Below are 19,709 nucleotides of genomic sequence, written 5' to 3'. Positions count from 1 at the left end.
CCATGTAAGATGCTTGGGTAAGGAAGATGGGCCATGATGCAGAATTGTTGTATTACACTTTAGTGTCTTCCACCCTTATAAGTCAATCTGATCTTCAGGGAGTTTCTACTGTGCCTGACAGAGCACACAAAATCCAAGCAGTCCCCAGATGTTCAGCAATCCTTCCTTGCTTCCTATGGACACATGGAGGTATCTGGGAAGCATCCCCCAGAAATGCAGTTCCTTGGGACACCCTCATCCACGAACCCAGACTTCCAACATCCATCCACCCTCTCACACATTCAACCATCAGACATCTGCTATGTGCCTACTACAACTTAGCAAGATACAGTCCTGACTCTCGAGGAGTTCAAATCTATGATGGAGGCAGACATTTACACAAATAATTATAATCTAGTGTGACAAAAGCTGCCATTGAGTCATGTACAAGCTCCCAAGTGAACAGAAGAGTGAGCAGATAGCTTAGCTGGAGAAGGCTTCAAAAATATCAAGCAAACGACACTTGAGTGAAGTCTTACTGGGAGCATGGGTTTCCATTAGCTGGAGACGTGTCAGGGAAGAAAGCATTCCAGGTGAAGGAAGGAAGCATTCCAGGTGAAGGAGACTTGAAAAACTCAAGAAAAGGCACATCATTCTGTAAGGTTAGAGCAGAGGATGAAGGAGAAACTGTAAGTTGGGGTCATCTTGGGTGCCATGCGGGAGGATTTGGGCTTTACAGGAAGTTATGAGACACAGTCAAGGCAGGGCTGGGAACTCAAATGCCTACAGGAGCCTGGCAAATGGCACAAATCAGCAAGGGAGGGTGCCTACATGGGGAGTTGTAAAACTGGGGAGCGCAGGCCCCATCCAAAGGCAGCAGCCAATTGTTGCCATGCTGCAGGGCAGGCTCAGTGTAGCCAAGTCTCTCTTGTTTTTTTTTTTTTTTTAAGAAGAAGCTGAAAATCCATATTTTTTACATATGAATGCTCCCAGTTTCTAACTGTTGACAGTTATTTCAAAATATCATGCTGGCCAACCAAAAAGATATCTGATGCCCCATCAACCTTCGGACCTTCAGTGTAGCACTTCAGATCTAAAATTTCTAAGCAGAGAATGAACACAGACTTATGTTTCAGATAGAGGGTGTCCCCACAGATCTCATGTGATCTTTCTGCCCCAGCTTCTGCCAAGAAGAACTTCTTTCCTCATCTCCACCACCGCCTTGCCTCTGCCCCATGTAGTCCTTGCCCTCCTCCCTGACCCCCCAGACCACCCCCAGCACCAGCTGCCTTCTTGCACTGGGAGAAGTTTAATTAATGAATTGTGCTGCAGAACCAGCTTACAGAGAAAAGCCCAGCATTAAGGACACGAGAGAGCCATATTTATTTCACATGGACAAGCATGATTCCATTGCATGCTGAACATGAAAGCTCGTATGAGCAAAGTACCCGTAACAGCAGAATTATGTGCTTTTGTCCACAGGGAGCAGGGAGAATCACAAAGTTGTTTTCAGAGACAGTGTTTTTCAAGCACAGTTGAGACCATAGGCTCTGAAGTCACTGGTTTATTTCATCACCAAAGGGTCTGTCTCCCAGGAGTGGCCGGAGGTGCTTTCAGCTTTGCAATCTCTCAATGAATTGATAAGGTCTGAGGAGGGCTGAGGATGGTCTCCCATCCCACCACCCAGAGCATCTTGAAGAAATGAAGCTCAGAGGGAAGATACATGCCACTTGGAATTAACAAGGCCACTCCTGGGTGGACAATGACAGGGACCGACTGCTGTGTTCATAGCAACAGAACCATCATCGCTTATAATATCTATCATCATTGGAACATTCACTCTTCTTAAAGCAATTCTCCAAGGCCCTTTATGGGCAGAAAGGAGAATGATTCTGGAATTTACTGGACGTGCCAGGAGCAGATCAACTTTGCTTGAACAGACTGATGAAAACTAGTGGCAGGGACTCTCTGGTCTCTTGGCTTTAGCTGGGCTTCCTGGTTCCAAGATGATGCAACTCAAGTTGGGAAAGGGGGCTGGAGCCAGGGTTTGTTGGAGGGAGATCAGAGGGTCTGGGAGCAAATCTCACGGAAGAGATGAGCAGAAGAGCCCTTGAGAGCCCTTTCCTTTCGTGGGCTTATTCCCACCTGAAGTCCTGCCCAACGGTTTCATAAAATTTGATATTATACGGTCTATAAAATTCTCGGAGCTGGTCTATCACTTCAGGATCAATCTGTACATGAGTTCTCCCTTTTGATTTGCCCAAGCATCGAGGCAGGAGGCTCGATTCTGTTTTTTTCAAGCAAGGGAATCCTTTGGTCTTGTTGAAATAGAAGTGCTTGTCCGTGATGAATCTCTTAATGCCCAGGAAGTCCTGGACTCGCCCCATCTCGCCGGCCGGGTCAGTGATGAGTCGCTCGCCACTGACGAAGTGAATCTGAGCTAGCGGGAAGTACTGCAGCCAGCTCTCCAGGTGCAGCACGTACATGCCGATGCGGATGGCGTTCCATGACACGTCCACCAGGCCCAGGGTGCGGTTGCGGAAGGAGAGGCCCTCAAAGGTCGGGATGTCGGGCTTCTTGGAGAGTGTCTGCGTGTAATCAGAGATGGCACGGGTCACAGGGTTCCGCACAACCACGATCAGCTTGGTGTCTCGGGACATGTTGAAGATGCGTCGAGGAGCCTCTTGAGTGACAAAGTAGCTGGGCGTCTTCTCCAGCGTGATCTGGCTCTCGAGGGTCCTGGGCATCAGGCTCCTGTGTGGGCAGAAGGAATACATCATCAAATAGGTTTCCCTGGGGCCAGGCCTCAGGCCCAGCTACATCAGCCCTTCCACCCAGGGGCCTGTTGCATCCTCCTCCTGGCCTCTGTTCCACTCAAAGCTTTCACCTGGTGAGGTACTCACTTTAAATCTTGTTGATTTTCTTTTCTTCTCTTTTTTTTTTTTTTTTTTTTTTTTTTTTGAGACAAGGTCTCACTCTGTCGCCCAGGCTGAAATGCAGTGGTACAATCACAGCTCACTGCAGCTTCCAACTCCTGGGATCAGGCTATCTTCCCATCTTCCCATCTTCCCATCTTCCCATCTTCCCATCTCAGCCTCCCAAGTAGCTGGGACTACAGGTGTGTGCCATCATGCCTGGCTAAGTTTTTCTATTTTTTGTAGAGCAGGGTCTCATTATGTTGCCAGGCTAGTCTCGAACACCTGGGCTCAAGCAATCCTCCCACCTCAACCTCCCAAAGTGCTGGGATTACAGGCTTTTTTTCTTATTTAATTTTTAACCTGTTTGCTTCAAGCCTGGAAACAATCTAAACATCCATCACAGTGAGCTAAATAAATTGTGGAATAGCCAATTAATAGGGTTAGGTAGATCTGTATGCATTAATATGGAATGATTTCCAACATACAGTGTTAAATGAAAACAGGCAAGATACAGCTTGTATATCTTAAGAAGGATAAATAAGTTACCAATAAAAGTGGTTGCTTCTAGGGAGGAAACTTGAGGTGAGTGCAGAATTAGAAGATGAGGGATAAATGAGAATTGCTTTTTTTTTTTTTAAGAGACAGGGTCTCACTTCACTCTGTCTCCCAAGGTGCAGTGCAGAGTTACAATCATGGCTCACTGAAGCCTCGAACTCCAGGCTCCATTGATCCTCTCACCTCAATCTCTCAAGAAGCCGGGACTACAGGCTCATGCCACCACTCCTGGCTGATTCTTAATAATTTTTGTAGAGATGGGGTCTCACTGTGTTGCCCAGGGTGGTCTTGAACTCCTGGGCTTAAGTGATTCTCCTGCCTCAGCCTCCTGAGCAGCTGGGATTACAGGTGTAAGCCACCATGCCTGGCTTATTTTTTGTATTTTTTGTAGAGATAGGGTCTCACTATGTTGCCCTGGCTGGTCTCAAACTCCAAGCTTCAAGTGATCCTCCTGCCTTGGTTTCTCAAAGTGCTGGGACCATAGGCACAAGCCACTGCACCTGGCTAAGAATTACTTTTTATTGTATAACCTTTTAAGCTGCTTGAAAATTTTAATGCATTTATTACATATTCAAAAATTACAAAGTAAGCCACTGAATATTGTTCTGGCAAAAGATATTTCTCCAAATATATTAAGAAAATCTTTTTTTGGGGAAAAAGTCTTGTCTTGCAGGAATAGCAACTGTTTTAGATATGAGTTCTGACGTCTTCTGCTGAAAAACATTTGAAATACATCCTTTGTGTAGGCTTGAACAAGCACAGAACTCCAGGCTGCTTGGGACCTCAGTCAGGAGTCAGGCTATGTAACCTCTCTTTCCCTTGCTTTTTAATTTCCTGGCTCTGCTTGAGACCTTAAGGGATGTGGGAGGAAGCACTGAAGTCTCTTTCCCAGGAGCATCTCATTCAGGCCTTGATGGACGGGAGCATCCCTGGTTCCCAACCGCTACTTCTTGATGAAGGTCATAGTTGACCCTTACGTGCATTTTTCTTAATCCTGGCTGCGCGTTAGAACTACCCGAGAAGTCCCTTCCTTCCTTCCGCCCTCCCTCCCTCCCTCCCTCCCTCCCTCCCTCCCTTCCTTCCTTCCTTCCTTCCTTCCTTTCTTTCTTCTCTTTCTTTCTTTCTTTTTTAAATAAACATGTCTGGGCTCTGTCCTAGAACAACTGATTCAAAATATTCAGGGAAGGGATATACTTCTATAAAGTTCCTCAGCTCATTCTAATGGGAAGGCAGAGTTGAGAAACACCTTTCCCAATCCTAATGAGGTAGGAGGCGGGTCTAGACTCCGGAGGCAGGGCTTGCTTGGACACAGGACCAAATTGAGGACTAGCTAAAACAGGGCGGGGAAGAAGCAGCTTTCCACAAGACACGCCCACCTGTGTGCCCTGTCAGCTTACCATTGCCATGGCAACGCCCCGAGGTGACCATCCCTTTCTATGGCAACAACCTGATGACTTGGAAGCTACCACCCTTTTTGTAGGGTGGTAAATTTCTGCATAATCTGCCCCTTAATTTGCATGTAATTAGAAGTGGGTATAAATATGACTGCAGAGCTGCCTCCGAGCTGCTACACTGGATACACTGCCTATACAACACCCCTGTAGGGTAGCCCTTCTCTGCAGGGAGCAGTGCCTCTGCTTCTGCTGTACACTGCTGCTTCAATAAAAGTTGCTTGTCTAACAACACCGGCTTGCCCTTGAATTGTTTCCTGGGCAAAGCCAAGAACTCCCCAAGGCTCGCCTGCCCTGCATCACTAACACTATGATTTACCAACCCCCAGAACATTCATTCTCACATCCTTTGGAATATCAACTCCTGGTTCTTAGCTTTCTGCTTCCTGGCTCCTATCACTATCTCCACCCAATACCCTGGCCTCGCAGTTCTTTGACCTTTGACACTCCAAGTATTTCCATTTTCTCTTCCCTTCACCAACTCTTTTTCATGGCCATACGTTGGGTCATGTCATTGCAATTTCCCTAACTCTGAAATGGTTAACTCAGAAATTTCACTCTAAAACTATGTAGAGGTTTGAATGGTGACCTTCCAAAAGATATGTCCGCCCAGAACCTTTGTTCTGTTTTGGGGTTTTTTGTGTGTGTGCGTGACAGAGTCTTATGCTGTCGCCCAGGCTGGAGTACAGTGGTGCCATCAGGGCTCACTGCTGCCTCAAACTCCCCTGGCTTAGGTGATCCTCCCACCTCAGAACTCCCAGGTAGCTTGGACTACAGGCACTCACCACCACTCCTAGCTATTTTTTGTATTTTTTGTAGAGACAGGGTTTCACCATGTTGCCTAGGCTGGTCTTGAACTCCTGGGCTCAAGAGATCTACCTGCCTTGGCCTCCCAAAGTGCTGGGATTACGGTGTAGCCACCACACCCAGCCCACCCAGAACATTTGAACGTGACCTTATTTGGCAAAAGGGTCTTTGCAGATGTAATTAAGTTAAGGACTTGCATATGAGATCATCCCGGATTAGAGTGGGCCATAAACCCAATGACGAGTGTCCTTGTTAGAGAAGGGAAGAAGAGTCACACAGGAAATACGGTGACCTGAAGATGAAGGCAGAGTGTGAAGTAAGATGTCTACAAGACGTGAACACCTAGGATTGCCACCAGCAGCCACCGGAAGCTAGGAGAGAGGCACAGGGCAGATTCTTCTCAGAGCAGTCAGAAGGAACCAACCCTGCTAACAATTTGGTCTCAGACTTCTATCCTCTAGAACTGTGAAATAATGCATTTTGGTTGTTTTAAGCCACCTAGTTTGCAGTAATTTGTTATGGTAGCCACAGGAAACTACAGATTACAACCTTGTCCCTTTCTACCTTTTCCACAGTCTCAAACTTCTTATACCCATTTTCAAATTCATCTGGGATTCTCTTGATTTCACTTTATTCCATACCTTCTCTGTACCCAATGAACAATCATTTCAATAGCATCATCTTCATCCTCATCAATTTTCCTGTTCTAATTGCTCTCCCCAGTCTCTAATAATGCATCCTTCCAGCCTTTTATCCTTTCCAGTTCTGTCCCTGGGTTGCCAAACAGCACTGGAGAAAATTGCTGTCACTTACAAATATATCCTTAATATGTTCATGGATTCTAGCTTCCATTGAACCCTCAGTACTGCTCAGTGATCTTATATTTGTCTTTTCAGGCCCTTTCCATCATTTTTCATAGTAAATGTTTCAAATTCTCATCATACACTCCCAGCCTGAATCCTTTCATCCACCCTTAACATGCAGCTAGTCACCCATGACACTAGAAAGGCATAAGCTTTCAACCTAACACCTCAACTCCTTCAACCTGCCTCTCCTCCATCTTAAAGCTAATCCTTATGTGCAACCATCCTGAGCCCCTCCTGCTAGTCTCCGAGAACAAGGTATGCAAGGGCTCACCCATCCACCTGTGCTTAGATCCCTTCCCCTTCTACCTTTCCTGCAAACCCACCCATTGGCGCCTTGAACCTTCTAATTCATTGCTAGACTGATACAACTGATCTTTTTCTTCTAGGCCCAAAGTCTATGTAGACCCTTTTTGGTTGAAAGTTGAAATCGTATTTATTAGTATTGAGTAGGACAATTAATAGCATTTGTTAGTATTGAGTAGACAATTAAAAAACAATTTTTAAAAAATTGAGTAGAACTAATTAAAAAAAGTAGTATTGAGTACATTGTTTGCATTATGTGCAAACAATCACAAGGGCACTTGAATAGAATTCTTTGGCTGGATTTTCTTAGAAATCTGGATATATTAGATCGTGACTGTGGCATATATGGTAATCAGGTGTTGGCCTGTATGACAGGAATAGATGAAATTACATAAGTGTAACAGCGCATTTAAACTGTGTTTAAAGACTTCCCAAATTCTACAGGGGCTGTTGCAATAAATGTCTTCCCTGGCACAAGGAAATTGACTTGACTTGCCATTAAACAGATTCCTTTGCAATATCCTTCAATACACTAAAGAATATCCAAGAAAGGAATTGAGGACAGATTTTCTAAGCTTACTTGACTATAGAGCTGTGAAGCACCAATTAACATCTCTTTTTGTTACCAGTTTGGAAAATGCTGACCAAATCCAGTGATCTCCAAAGTATCACATTATTCCCCCATCTGTGCACTAAAGTGAAGCTCCACCCTTCTAACTTCTTTTTTCCTTTTCTTTTCTTTCTTTTTTTTTTTTTTTTTGAGATGGAGTTTTGCTCTTGTTGCCCAGGTTGGAGTGCAATGGCACAATCTCAGCTCACTGCAACCTCTGCCTCCCAGGTTCAAGCAATTCTCCTGTCTCAGCCTCCCAAGTAGCTGGGATTACAGGCATGTGCCACCACGCCCAGCTAATTTTTTGTATTTAGTAGACAGGGTTTCACCAGGTTGGTCAGGCTGGTCTCGAACTCCTGACCTAGGTGATCCGCACACCTTGGCTTCTCAAAGTGCTAGGATTACAGGCATGAGCCTCCGCACTCGGCCCACCCTTCTAATTTCTAATTGGTGTTATCAGTTGCAAAACCAAATGGCAAATACTAAAGAAGATATAAGAATCAGGTTGCAAACATGCTGTAGTCATGCCACAAGTCAAAGGGCTCCTGGGTACTTCAAATTTTCTCTATCCCACCAAAAAACACCCTTGAATATTTATTTCTCCTTGGGTCATTGGAATAGAGTGTTGGAGTCCTGTGTGATGATAACGTGCAAAGGTACTGTGTATACCTTCCCATGCCCTGTGCACATTGGAGGAAGACGTGATTAGACTTCCTTGGGGCTCATCTTTCTTCTTTATGTCACTGTTTAAATTTTGCTTACTTGTTTCCAGCTGCTAGCAAACAGCTGAACTTTTCTCTCACCCTGCAACCCTTTTAAGCTTCTGTCTCCTTTGTTTTCTATGTAGCTCTGCAAAAGTTACTGAAAGAATAATCTAATGCTCATTGTTTGGACTTTCCTCCCACCTGTTATTTTAAATTGCTCAGGAACTATTTTCCCTACATCTGGTAACAGCCCCAGATTTTTCCTTGAGGACTACTACTCCTGCTTTGGACAAAATCTTGATGGGCCAAGGGTGGGGATGCATGTCCAAAGTTAGGCTATTAGGAACCAATTGTGTTACAAAGACTAAAAAGGTGTCATAAAGATTGAAATTCCAATCAGATATAAAACCCTGGAAGAGATTCCTCATTAGTTTCTGTTGCCAAATCCCTGCAGCTATCTAGGTTCTTGCCCTTTCTGAGACCTGGCTCTTCCCCTTTCTTCTGGATTCTGTGAGTTACTACACATCCTTCCAGTAAGTTTCTACTATTTTAAATTAGTTAGAGTTGGTTTTTGTTGCTTGCAATCCAAGAATTTTAACCTATCTTTTACAGTCTGGCCTCTTGCGATCGTTTGAATATTTGTCCCCTCCAAAACTCATGTTGAAATTTAATCCTCAACGTGGTACTATTGGGAGGTGGAGACTTTAAGATGTGATTGGGTCATGCGGGCTCTGCCTTCATGAATGGATTCATCTATTCATGGATTAATGAATTAAAGGATTAATGTGTTAATGAATTAGTGGTTTATCATGAGAGTGGAAGTGGTGTCTTTATAAGAAGTGGAACTGAGCTAGCAAGTGAGCACACTCAATCCCCTTCCCATGTAATGCCCTGTGCTGCCTTGGGACTCTACGGAGAGCCCCCAACAGCAAGAAGGTCCTCACCAGATGGAGCCTCTTGACCTTGGACTTCTCAACCTCAATAACTGTAAGAAATAAATTCATTTTCTTTATAAATTATCCAGTTTCAGGTAATCTGTTATGAGCAACAGAAAATGGACTAAGACACTTATTTTCTGTTGAAGCTATACCCACCCCACTTGATTATAAATTACATGAGGGCAGGGCAGGGTGTATCTTATTTGCAGCTGTATCTCCCGAGTCCACCACAATCCATGGCACAAGTAAGATCTTTATCGGTATCTTTGAAGTTTAAATGAAGCCAACAACCTATCTAATCCATTTACTCATTGAAGCCCTCATCCCCTTTACAAATTCCTAACTCTCCCCAAACCATTCTGGATCTTCTCAATGGCCTACATTCCACTTCTCTCATGCTGGTTTGTGTTTGTTTGTTTCAGACAGGGTCTCACTCTGTCTCCCAGGCTGGAGTACAGTGGCACAGTCTCAGCTTACTGCAGCCTCGACCTCCCAGGCTCACGCAATCCTCCTGCCTCAGCTCCCCAAGTAGCTGAGACCACAGGTGTCTGGCTAATTTTTTGTATTTTTAGTAGAGACAAGGTTTCGCCATGTTGCCCTGGCTGGTCTCAAACTCTTGGGCTCAAGCAATCCATCCACCTCAGCCTCCCAAAGTGCTGGGATTACAGGTGTGAGCCACTGCAGCCGGGCCCACTTCTGTCATTCTATGTGATCCTCCTGGATGACCTCATTCCTTCCCCAGCCTTTAACCATCACCTAAGAGATGCTGACACACAAATCTGTAACTGCAGCTCCAACTTAAAGCTTTCCTATGTTCTTAATTAGAATGCTTGTCTATAGACTGGATACCTCACTTCAACAATTGAACATTTTCCTCCGCTTTTGCAAATTTCTTTCTTTCTCTCTTTTGCCTGCTTTTGCAAATATCATCATGAAAGGAGGAAAACTTCAGAATCATTCTTAACTCTTCCTCAAATCCAGTGTCTTTCGTTCTTGTAAGTTTTACCTCCCCAACCTTCTGAAGTCTCCAGCCTCCTCCCTTAGTCCATGAAAACAGCCACAGGCCCTTGTCAACTCTTCCTCAGACCACAGATTTCTCTCTGCCCTCCATGCTCCTATTGTTTTTTCCCATTTCAATTCATTCTGCATTTCATGTCCACCAGGGAATCCAATCATGTATCCTAAGCTTTCTGGAGCAAATCCAATTAAGTCAGGCATCAATGATTCTTTTGAATAAGGTCTGTATTCCTTAGCTTGGCATTTGAGGCCCTTGTCTACCTTTCTAGAATTAATCTCTTGCCACTTCCTTGGTAGCCTGATGTTCATGCCATGCTGAACATAAAATCCTCTCCCCAAACATGAACCTGCCCTTTCATATGTGTTTTGCACTTGCCAAGTGTTTTATTTTTATTTTTTAAGACTCTGATCCATCTTACTTGTCTCTTGTCCTGGTGAATGCCTACTCGCATTTCCAAATCCAAACCAAAAGTCACACACACCCTCTGTAAACCCTTCTTTGTGTAACCTCATGGCACTTTGTATAACCGCCTACTAGCACCCTCATGCCCTTGTGTGGGAATTGTTAGTTATGCATCCATTTATACCACAGATCCTCAGCAACTTGCACGTTTCTTGTTCATTTCTCCCTCCCTCACATCATACCTGGCATACCATAGGTGCTCAGTAAATGGATCAAAGATCCAGTGTCAGAGGTAGATGCCCATTGAGAAGCGGCCCTTGAGTCCTCAGAAGTTGTCAGTGCTGATTTATAAAGCTCAGCCCTTTTTTAGCATTCTGGCCTTGGGCAGCTAGTACTGGAGGGAAATTTTCTGTTGTTTTCAAGATTTCATTGTGCCCACAGGGGCTCTGGCTCACGACTGAGGGGGAGTCCAAGCTCTACTTCCACCAAACTTTCCAAATGTAGGAAGGTAGAATGAGATTTAAAGGAACGTCTCATGCCATTTCTGTTTTGCCACCTGTACACTGTCTCTAGCCCAAGGCTCTGCCCTGTGGCTGGTGGGGAAGGGGTGGTGAAGTTAAGCTGCATGCCAGGACCACTTGAGGGGGTTTTGGAGCAATGCAAAAGTCTGGGTCCTACATCAGACTAATTAAATCAAAAACTCTGGGCACGAGGCCCAGGTACCTGAAATTTTATTTATTTATTTATTTATTTATTTAGATGGAGTCTCGCTCTGTCGCCAGGCTGGAGTGCAGTGGCGCAATCTCGGCTCACTGCCACTTCCACCTCCCAGGTTCAAGCGATCCTCCTGTTACAGCCTCCCAAGTAGCTGGGATTACAGATGTGCATCACCATGCCCAGCTAATTTTTTGTATTTTTAGTAGAGATGGGTTTCACCATGTTGGCCAGGATGGTCTCGATCTCTTCACCTCGTGATCTGCCTGCCTCAGCCTCCCAAAGTGCTGGGATTACAGGCATGAGCCACCGTGCCCGGCTGGTACCTGCAATTTTAAAACTCTCCAGATGATTCCAGTGGGCCACCAGTGCTTAGAACCACTGTGGCAGACTGCACCTTCCTTTAGCCACGTGTCCTTTAATACAATTGCTCATGAGAATTAACTGGGTGCGTCTTGGAGAAAAAATTCCCAGGTCCCTCTTCTGTACATTCCAATTTCAGTGGGTTTGGGGTGCAGTTCAAGAATATGCATTTTAAACAAGCTCCCCCATGATTCTTACGATCAGAGAAGCTTGGAGCATACCACCTTAACAAAAGGTATTCTCATAAGTAACAGGGGCACACTCATTACTACCTAATATATTTGATGTTGATTTGCATGTTTACTGTCCCTGGCCACACCCATCCCATCCCACGGTAGATGGTAAATTTTGAGAGTGAAGATTGTTGTCTATATTATTCACTGCTGTATTCTCTACACCTGGACAAAGGCTGGTACTTAGTAAGCGTTCAGAAAATACTTGCAGAAGAGAAAAAATAATAAAGACAAGGCTTTAATCTTGGAACAATGAGGCAGAATCATATTGTTTGTACTGGTGAAGATATGTCCCTCTTTCTCATGCTATAAAAGTCTATACTCTTTCACCCTAAGGGAAACATCACAGACTTCCTGCAGCCCCTTCCAAAAAAAGAGAAAAAAAAAAAAACAAACACAAAAAAACACCCAAGTATTCTCTTGTCATCCTGAGGCTTTCTGGAAATTATATTTTTGACCCACACTGGGCTACGCAGTGGAACACAGGACAGCTCCCTTGGAACCCACTGTCCACCCAAGGGTCATCCCTTGCACATGCAAGCAAGTGGGAACCTGCCTGATGTCGGGCCATCATCGGAAACTTACAGAACTGGCACACCACTGATTATTACTGATAGGATTCTCTGGAAGATTTCATTTTCTGCTAAATTTGTACACTCTTTATATGTGTTCTGGAAGACCCGGCTGCCTGGAGGCCTGTGGTGATTTATTGGCTTCTAACTGGGCAACCAAGCTCCTTGAAAATCATTGCAGTCTCCGGAGAGATAATTAAGAGCGGAAGAGGAGGGAAAAGGCCTTATTGCAAGAAACTGGTTCTTAAAACTAAACCTGCTAAACCCCCACACACTGAGCCATGTGGCAGGCACAGCACCTGTGGCCGTTTATCCTCGCCTAGTTGAGCGAAGTCATGAGCCCCCTCTCATACCGTGGGACCATTTCCTTCCAAGTCCACAGCCCCAAATCCTTATACTTATGTGAACCTGGAGCAGGCCACTAAGTCTCAGCTCATACTCCAGCGACCATTCTCGTTGCTCACAAGATAGAGTCTTTACCAGGATTTCTGTGGCTCTTCCTGATCCTGCCCATGGCCCCTCCTGGGCTCTGGCTAGACTAGATTATTTGAAGCCAGTCTGTACTCCTCCAAAAACTGTATTTTTCATGCTAAGGGAACCTTGACATGTTGTACCCTTTGCATGAAGCCCTCCTTAACCTGCCTGGCAAAACATCTCTCAGCTCATCGTCACCTCCACCATAAAGCCTTCCCTGACTGTGCCCTTATTATTTCTCCCTTCCTGGAGGAGTTAGGTGTTTTTTTACTCTTGTGATTCCATGGTACCCACTATAGACATAACCCATTTTTGATACATTATCTGAGTCTATCATCCCTCTAGAGTTCAGTGTCCCTGAAGGCAGGGATCATGACTGTGGCATCTCTATATTGACAGTGTCTAGTCCTCTGCTGGTATGCAATCATGGATTTATTCATGAGACAAGCGTTTATTGAGCACCTACTGTATGCTGGGGATACAGAGATAAGTGAGCTGCAGTCTCTTTCCTCAAAGAGTTAACAGTTTTGTGGACCAACTGGGACAGGAGGTGGCAGGGTCCCCTTTTCCTAGTGTGAGGGCTGCACCTAAACCTGGCTTCCTATGAGAAGTGGTAGCTTTCTTCCTCTGGTGGGAAAGGTTATCCCTGAACCCAGTTTCTCATAGGTCCTCAGGTATTCAGGTGCTGGGCAGCTGGGTGTCCCAGATAACTCCTGTAAATAGCTGGTATCTAAATCCAATCAGCCAGTTGTTTGATTATTCCTTCACTGACAAGGCTGCTCTAATCCCTGCGCTATAAGAGGGAAGTTGATAAAGCTGAAGGGGCAGAGTCCCTTCATCCTTGGAGCATAAACCACATGGGGTCCAGGCCCTGGCAGTCCCCTCAATGACATGGTGAGAAGAAAGGGTAATGCTGTCCTTCTGCCTCTTCTATTGTGACCCACGGCTTGCAAGTTTCCCCAGTAAAGCCTATTCCTTTATCCACCCCTTGTGTATTGTGGAATTTATCCCTAGTCCTGCTGTGTGACAAGTGGAGACTACAAAGGGATCCTTCTTACATGGTATGTCCACATAGAGGACCACTGAGCAAAGAGACTGCACCTCGCTTATCTTTGTACCCCTGGTGTATAGTAGGTGCCCAGTAAACACTTGCCTCGGGAATGAATACACTACTGCATGCCAGGCACAGGACTAAGCATTGCCAATATAGAGATGTGACAGTTATGATCCACTTTCAGCTACTTTCAGCTACAGGCTAGTTTAATGGCTGGGTATGAGTACAGGATTTGGAATCAAAAAGACCTGAGTCTTGTCACTTGCTAACCATAAAAAATGGGTACGCAGCAGTCATCAGCCATACACGTGGTCATCGATGCTTTGGACATAAACAAGACAATAGCTGACACTTATTGTGCAGTGACTGTGGGCCACTTGCTGTTCTAAACTCTAAATCATCTCACTTGATCTTCACAATAACCCTACAAAGTAGGAACTCATGCTATTCCAGTTTTTGTACTGAGGAAACTAGGACACAGAGAACTAAAGTAAATCAGCAAAGCAACACAGCCAGTTTGCAGAATCCAGATTCAAGTGTGACTCTCACACAAGAAGAAAACGTGAGAATATAAAAATGAATCTTGGCATGAGGACAGCCTTTCTAGGCATGAGACAAAAATCATGAAGGAAAAGATGGAAAAGTTAGACTCTTAAAAAAAAATAAGTCCCTGGAATAGAAAAATACCATAAATAAAAGGAAAATGACTAATTGGAAAAATATCTGCAGCACCTACACTATAAACACAAAGAGCTGATTTCATATCTGTTTTTCATATCTTTTTATGTTTTATATATTTTTCCAGACACTTTGCAAATCAATAAGTAAAGGAGAACTAGCCAGTAGAAGAAAGGATCATAGGCGTGAGAAAAGAGTTAATAAAGAGCTATGAATAGAAAATAAACATATGAAAAGATAAATCTCTAAAATTAAGGAAACACAAACTAAAATCATGATGAGATAATATTATTCACCTGTAAGGCTGGAAAAAAAATTTTTTTAATTGTAACAATTATGATGGCAAGAATGTGAAGAACTAACACTCTCCTAATTTTGGTAGACATATACATTGATGCAGTCTTTAGGAAGACAATTATATATTATCTATCAAAATGTAAAATGCACATACCCTTTAACCCAGCAATTCCACTCCTGGAAATGTATTTGCACAAGTGCATAAAGACTCATGTGCCAGGTGTTCATTGCAGTATTTGCAGTTGACATGAGGAGGCATCTCCCAAGGACACCTGCATAGATTGTTCCCGGAGGGCAGGTCCAAAAGGTAGAAAGGGTATGGGAGGATACCTACAACTAGAAAACAACACCCCTGGACTATTGTCTAAGCAGGAAATAAACTTTTCCTAGGGGTTTGTTTGTTATAGCAGCTAGCATTAAGTTAGCTACTGCAACATTGTAATAAAAAAAAGACCAGAAACAACCCACATTTCTATCAGAACCACAGTGAGGCCATATGATAGATTATGATCTGGCTGTCAAGAAATGAGGTGGATCTACAAATATTGACACCTAAAGGAATCAACATATTATTAAGTGAAAAAAGCAGGTTGTAGAACAGTAAGTTTAATATGTCCCTATTTACATACAAAATATACACATGCGTGCTAGTGCCTATATGCATAGACATCTTCTAAAAGGATACACAATACATTTAACAGTTATTATCTTTGGAAAATAACCTTGGGGGATCTGGGCTGGGCTGTAGTGTAGAATGGGACTTCGTTTTCACCTTTAGCTTTTTGCATTCGGATTTATTTTTCTCTTTGCCATGAGCATGTATTTTTTGTCATTTAAAAAAAACTATCTAATGAAAAGCTATTTTTAAAAGTCTCCATTGATATTATTTAGGATGAAGAAAGCCTCTACTGTGGAGTGAGGGGGAGGAAACATGTCTGGAGTGGCTGAGGTGTGGGCGGGAAGGAAGGATATGGAAGGTGAAAATGTATAGCTCCTTTCTCAAGAAGCTCTCTTGGAAAGGAGGAACGGTGATCGTGGGTGTTGAAGGAATGTTTTTGCTGCTGCATGTACAGCTCTGATACATTTCCAGGCAATTGGACTTCAATTTCTTTGGTCCTATCTGCAGCTGACCGTGGGACACTATCTGGAGGTAACTCCCAGGATATCTCTTCTTCTGTGGTCTGGGCTTAATTTCTCTCCCTGCCCTCCCTTCTCCCTGGAAGTGGACCCCATAAGCCTGTGCCTGTCACACTTTAATGTGCATTTGAATCTCGTGTAGGGGTCTTGTTGAAATGCAGTTTCTGATTCAGTAGGTCTAGGGAGGGGGTGCTAAGAGTATGCATTTTTAGCAGGCTCCACAGTGAGGCCGACTTGCTGCTCCTTGGGCCACCCGTTGAATTGCAAGGTCTTAAGGCAGCCCTGGCAATACTGGTACAAAGGACATAGCCAGTGAATATTTATTGCATTAATCAGAATCGGCTAATTGATGTTGGGTGAAAAATTGCGGATGACTTGAATTCAGAAAGCCTGGATTGGAGTCCCAGCTTTTCCTTTTCCTGGCCATGTGACTTTCGTGTTAGTTTCTTCACCTGCAATGTGTGGATCATGGTAATGCCAACTTCACTTGGCTGTTGTGAGGTCAAAGCTGCGAGAGTCCCGTATAAAGTGTAATGCACCGTGACCATCTATTAGCAGGTTCCTCTTTCTCTACTTGATTTCCCCCTTTAGTTCAAGCCTTTTTCATTTTCAAAAAAACCAGCTATCTATCCCTTCACCTGCTCCTGCGACAGTCCTGTATATCTCCTTTTCTTCCCAGCCAGAGTTCTTGGAATAAAGCTGCATGGCTTCATTTCCTCACCTCACATTCATCCTCCTCTTGCTCCATCTCCTCCCACCCCATCGTCTTCTGAAGCGGTACTCTCCGAACACAACCCTAAATGCCAACTCCATCTCGAATCTTGGTCATGTTTCACTTTTCTGTGGCCTCTGAAGCACTTGCCCACTCCCTGCTTGTTGAAACTTGTTTTTCTTCCTTTGGGAACACATTCTTTCTTCCTCCCCGCCCCTGCCCCCCACTGACCATTCTTTCTCCATACACACTTCAGTTATTTCTCCTCAACTTACCACTTCTCATGTCTCAGTTAATGGCCCCACCATTCACCAGTTGTCCAAGCAACACCCATGTCTAATCTATAACCAAATTCAATTGGTGACCTCTCACTCACTCCCTTCTGACGTCTGTCCCAGCCAGCTCAGGACCCACCACAGCTCTCTTCACTCATGATCAGAACTGTGGGGAGCAGCCCAGTGCCTGTCTCTAGCTAGGCTCTACTTTCTAGCTTCCAGCCTGAGTCAGCTTGCTCTCGTGAGATGTTCCCCAGTGACATTAGCATCCAGGAAACAAAATGGCACATGGGGACAGTGATGGTACCAAGTGGAGGCCAAAGGGATCTTTATCCCCCTCTAGTCTCCATTAGTCAATCAGAGTGAATGCATGCCACGAAACAGCATGCATGGCAACTCCCAGACAAGCTTTCTATCCTTCCTCTGATGGGGCCACTCCTACCCCTTCCCCCATATAGAAATTTTGGAGCCACCACCTCCAGAGAGAATGACAGATCATCCCTGAGTACCTGCAGGAGACCCTCAAAAAGGGCCAGGGACCTGTGCAAGAAGCTTCCTGAGGCAACACTGGGTGCCAGGAGCACCTGAGTGCCCTCTCTCTATACTCAGCAGGGCAGAGCACTGCTGGAGAACACCTGAAATCAAAGGCTGGTTCCACTCCAGATATCTGATTGCCAACACAAAGGGGGCTGATATGGTTTGGCTGTGTCCCCACCCAAATATCAAATTGTAGCTCCCGTAATTCCTATGTGTCATGGGAGGGACCTGGTGGGAGGTAATTAAATCATGAGGGTGGGTTTTTCCCATGCTGTTCTCATGGTAGTGAATAAGTCTCATGAGACATGATGGTTTTATAAAGGGGAATTCCCCTGCACATGCTCTCTCTCTTGCCTGTTGCCATGTAAGACGTGTTTTTGCTCTTCCTTCACCTTTCGCCATGATTCTGAGGCCTCCTCAGCCACGCTGAACTGTGAGTCTATTAAACCTCTTTCCTTTACAGATTACCCAGTCTTGGGTATGTCTTTATTAGTAGCATGAGAACAGACTAATTCAGGGGCCTTTAGCACACAGCACAATTCCACCATGTGTCTCTGGACAACTGGCTTTCTAGCTCTGCATGACTATTTCAGACCGTTCCCTTTCTCTGCAAATGACCAAACCCTGCCCTTTCTTGCCACTCTTAGTAGGTGACCTTGCATCCCATTCCACAGAGAATATAGAAACCATTAGAATGTAGTGCTCTCAATATCCTGCTACTAAGCACATAACGTTTTCTATTCTGCCCAGCACTAGGCTGAGTATGGAGCCGGTCAACCCAGCCGTTTCCTGACGCCAGCTTCCCTGCTCTGAAACCTCCTCCACCTCCCAGTTTCCTGCCTGAATTGTCCACGGAGTCCCCACCCTCCACCATCTGCACCCTCATCCTTTCCCACCAGATCTGAATGTTTCCCAGGCAAACTCCTCAGCCAACAACTGCATGAGTCAGTGAGTTTATTTTGTTTGTTAACACCAAGCTTTACAACTTCACACTTCAGTCTCCCGGGGGTATTAATGGTTTTGCAGGGATGAGTTCCGCAAGCCTGCCCCACTTCTTGCAGCATAGCAGCGCCCCCTAGTGGGTAGTTGGAGGTGATCCAATTGCAGTGGTTGGAGCCAACACCTGTTGCCTCCTTGGAGGAAATTAACCAATGATAGGAATGCTTTCCATCTGACTCCCGAATGTTGTTGTCGTACCAGGATACATTAAGCTCCATGATTGCAAGGGGTGAGCAGGAGTTGGTTTTCTCATCATAGAGGGAGCAAGGGCCATGCACTGGGAAGTCAGCTGCCTACATATAATTCATGTCTCAGATGTGCCTAAAACCACATGGGTAGTTGTTGGGTCACTAATACTCCTGCAGGTTCAAAGCCTGCCTAAACTATACACATGTGAGTTCTTTTCTAGGCTTTGGTATAGAATGGTCCAGCTCTGCATGTCAGTTCTGGAAGGCATTTGCAAAACCCAGCAAGATGAACTAGCAGACACTCTTGAATCCCCCAGTCCTTTCCCTTTCTGTCTCTAGGGCTGTGCTGTTCTTTCTGCCTGGATCACTTTACCCTGGCTCTTCCTGTGGCTCAATCCTTCTCATGCTCAGGTCTCAGTTAGAATATCACCACTTTCAAATGTCAGTCTCTGAAGTGGCTTATTTCCTCATCACTCTAAGCACCATCTGTAATTATCTTGCCTCTCTGTTTATCTATTGCCTTTCCCCTCAGGTTAGACTGTGGACCCCATCAGGAAGGCACAGTGTCACTCTCTGAAGTGGTTTATTTGGCTTATTTCCTCATCATTCTAAGCACAACCTGTAATTATCTTGCATATCTGTTTATTGCCTTCCCCCTAGTTAGTCTGTGAACCCCATCAGGAAGGCACAGTGTCTTGCTTGCTGGCTGTGGTATCTTCAGTCCTTGTCACTGTGCCATGCCATCATAGGCAGGCAAAAGAGAATGAATCATACCCACCAAATATTGTGCTTGTTAAATGAATAAGATGGGAAGGAATCAAAGCCTAAATCAAGAAGACGTGAGCTCCTGGAGGAAATGCAGTAGCCCGAGATCTTTAGAAAGAATTTCCCAAAGTGTGTTTACTTATCGTCTTTGTGGCTCACA

The 19,709-nt window shown here is 44.7% G+C and overlaps 1 protein-coding gene across 1 annotated transcript in view; it reads right to left on the bottom strand.

The window, feature by feature from the left end:
• Nucleotides 1-1,338: 1,338 nt before the first annotated feature.
• HS3ST2 (heparan sulfate-glucosamine 3-sulfotransferase 2) overlaps nucleotides 1,339-19,709 on the bottom strand; it is a 102,177-nt gene continuing 83,806 nt past the window's right edge. Inside the window, exon 2 of the mRNA NM_006043.2 lies at nucleotides 1,339-2,733. Within this exon, the coding sequence (NP_006034.1) occupies nucleotides 2,115-2,733 (619 nt within the window). The 3' untranslated portion in view covers nucleotides 1,339-2,114. The remainder of the gene's footprint in view (nucleotides 2,734-19,709) is intronic.

The sequence above is a fragment of the Homo sapiens genome, chromosome 16 (assembly GCF_000001405.40).
Source record: "Homo sapiens chromosome 16, GRCh38.p14 Primary Assembly".
NCBI classification, from domain to species: domain Eukaryota; kingdom Metazoa; phylum Chordata; class Mammalia; order Primates; family Hominidae; genus Homo; species Homo sapiens.
Note: the sequence above shows the minus strand (reverse complement) of the source record. Positions and strands in the feature narration are given on the sequence as shown.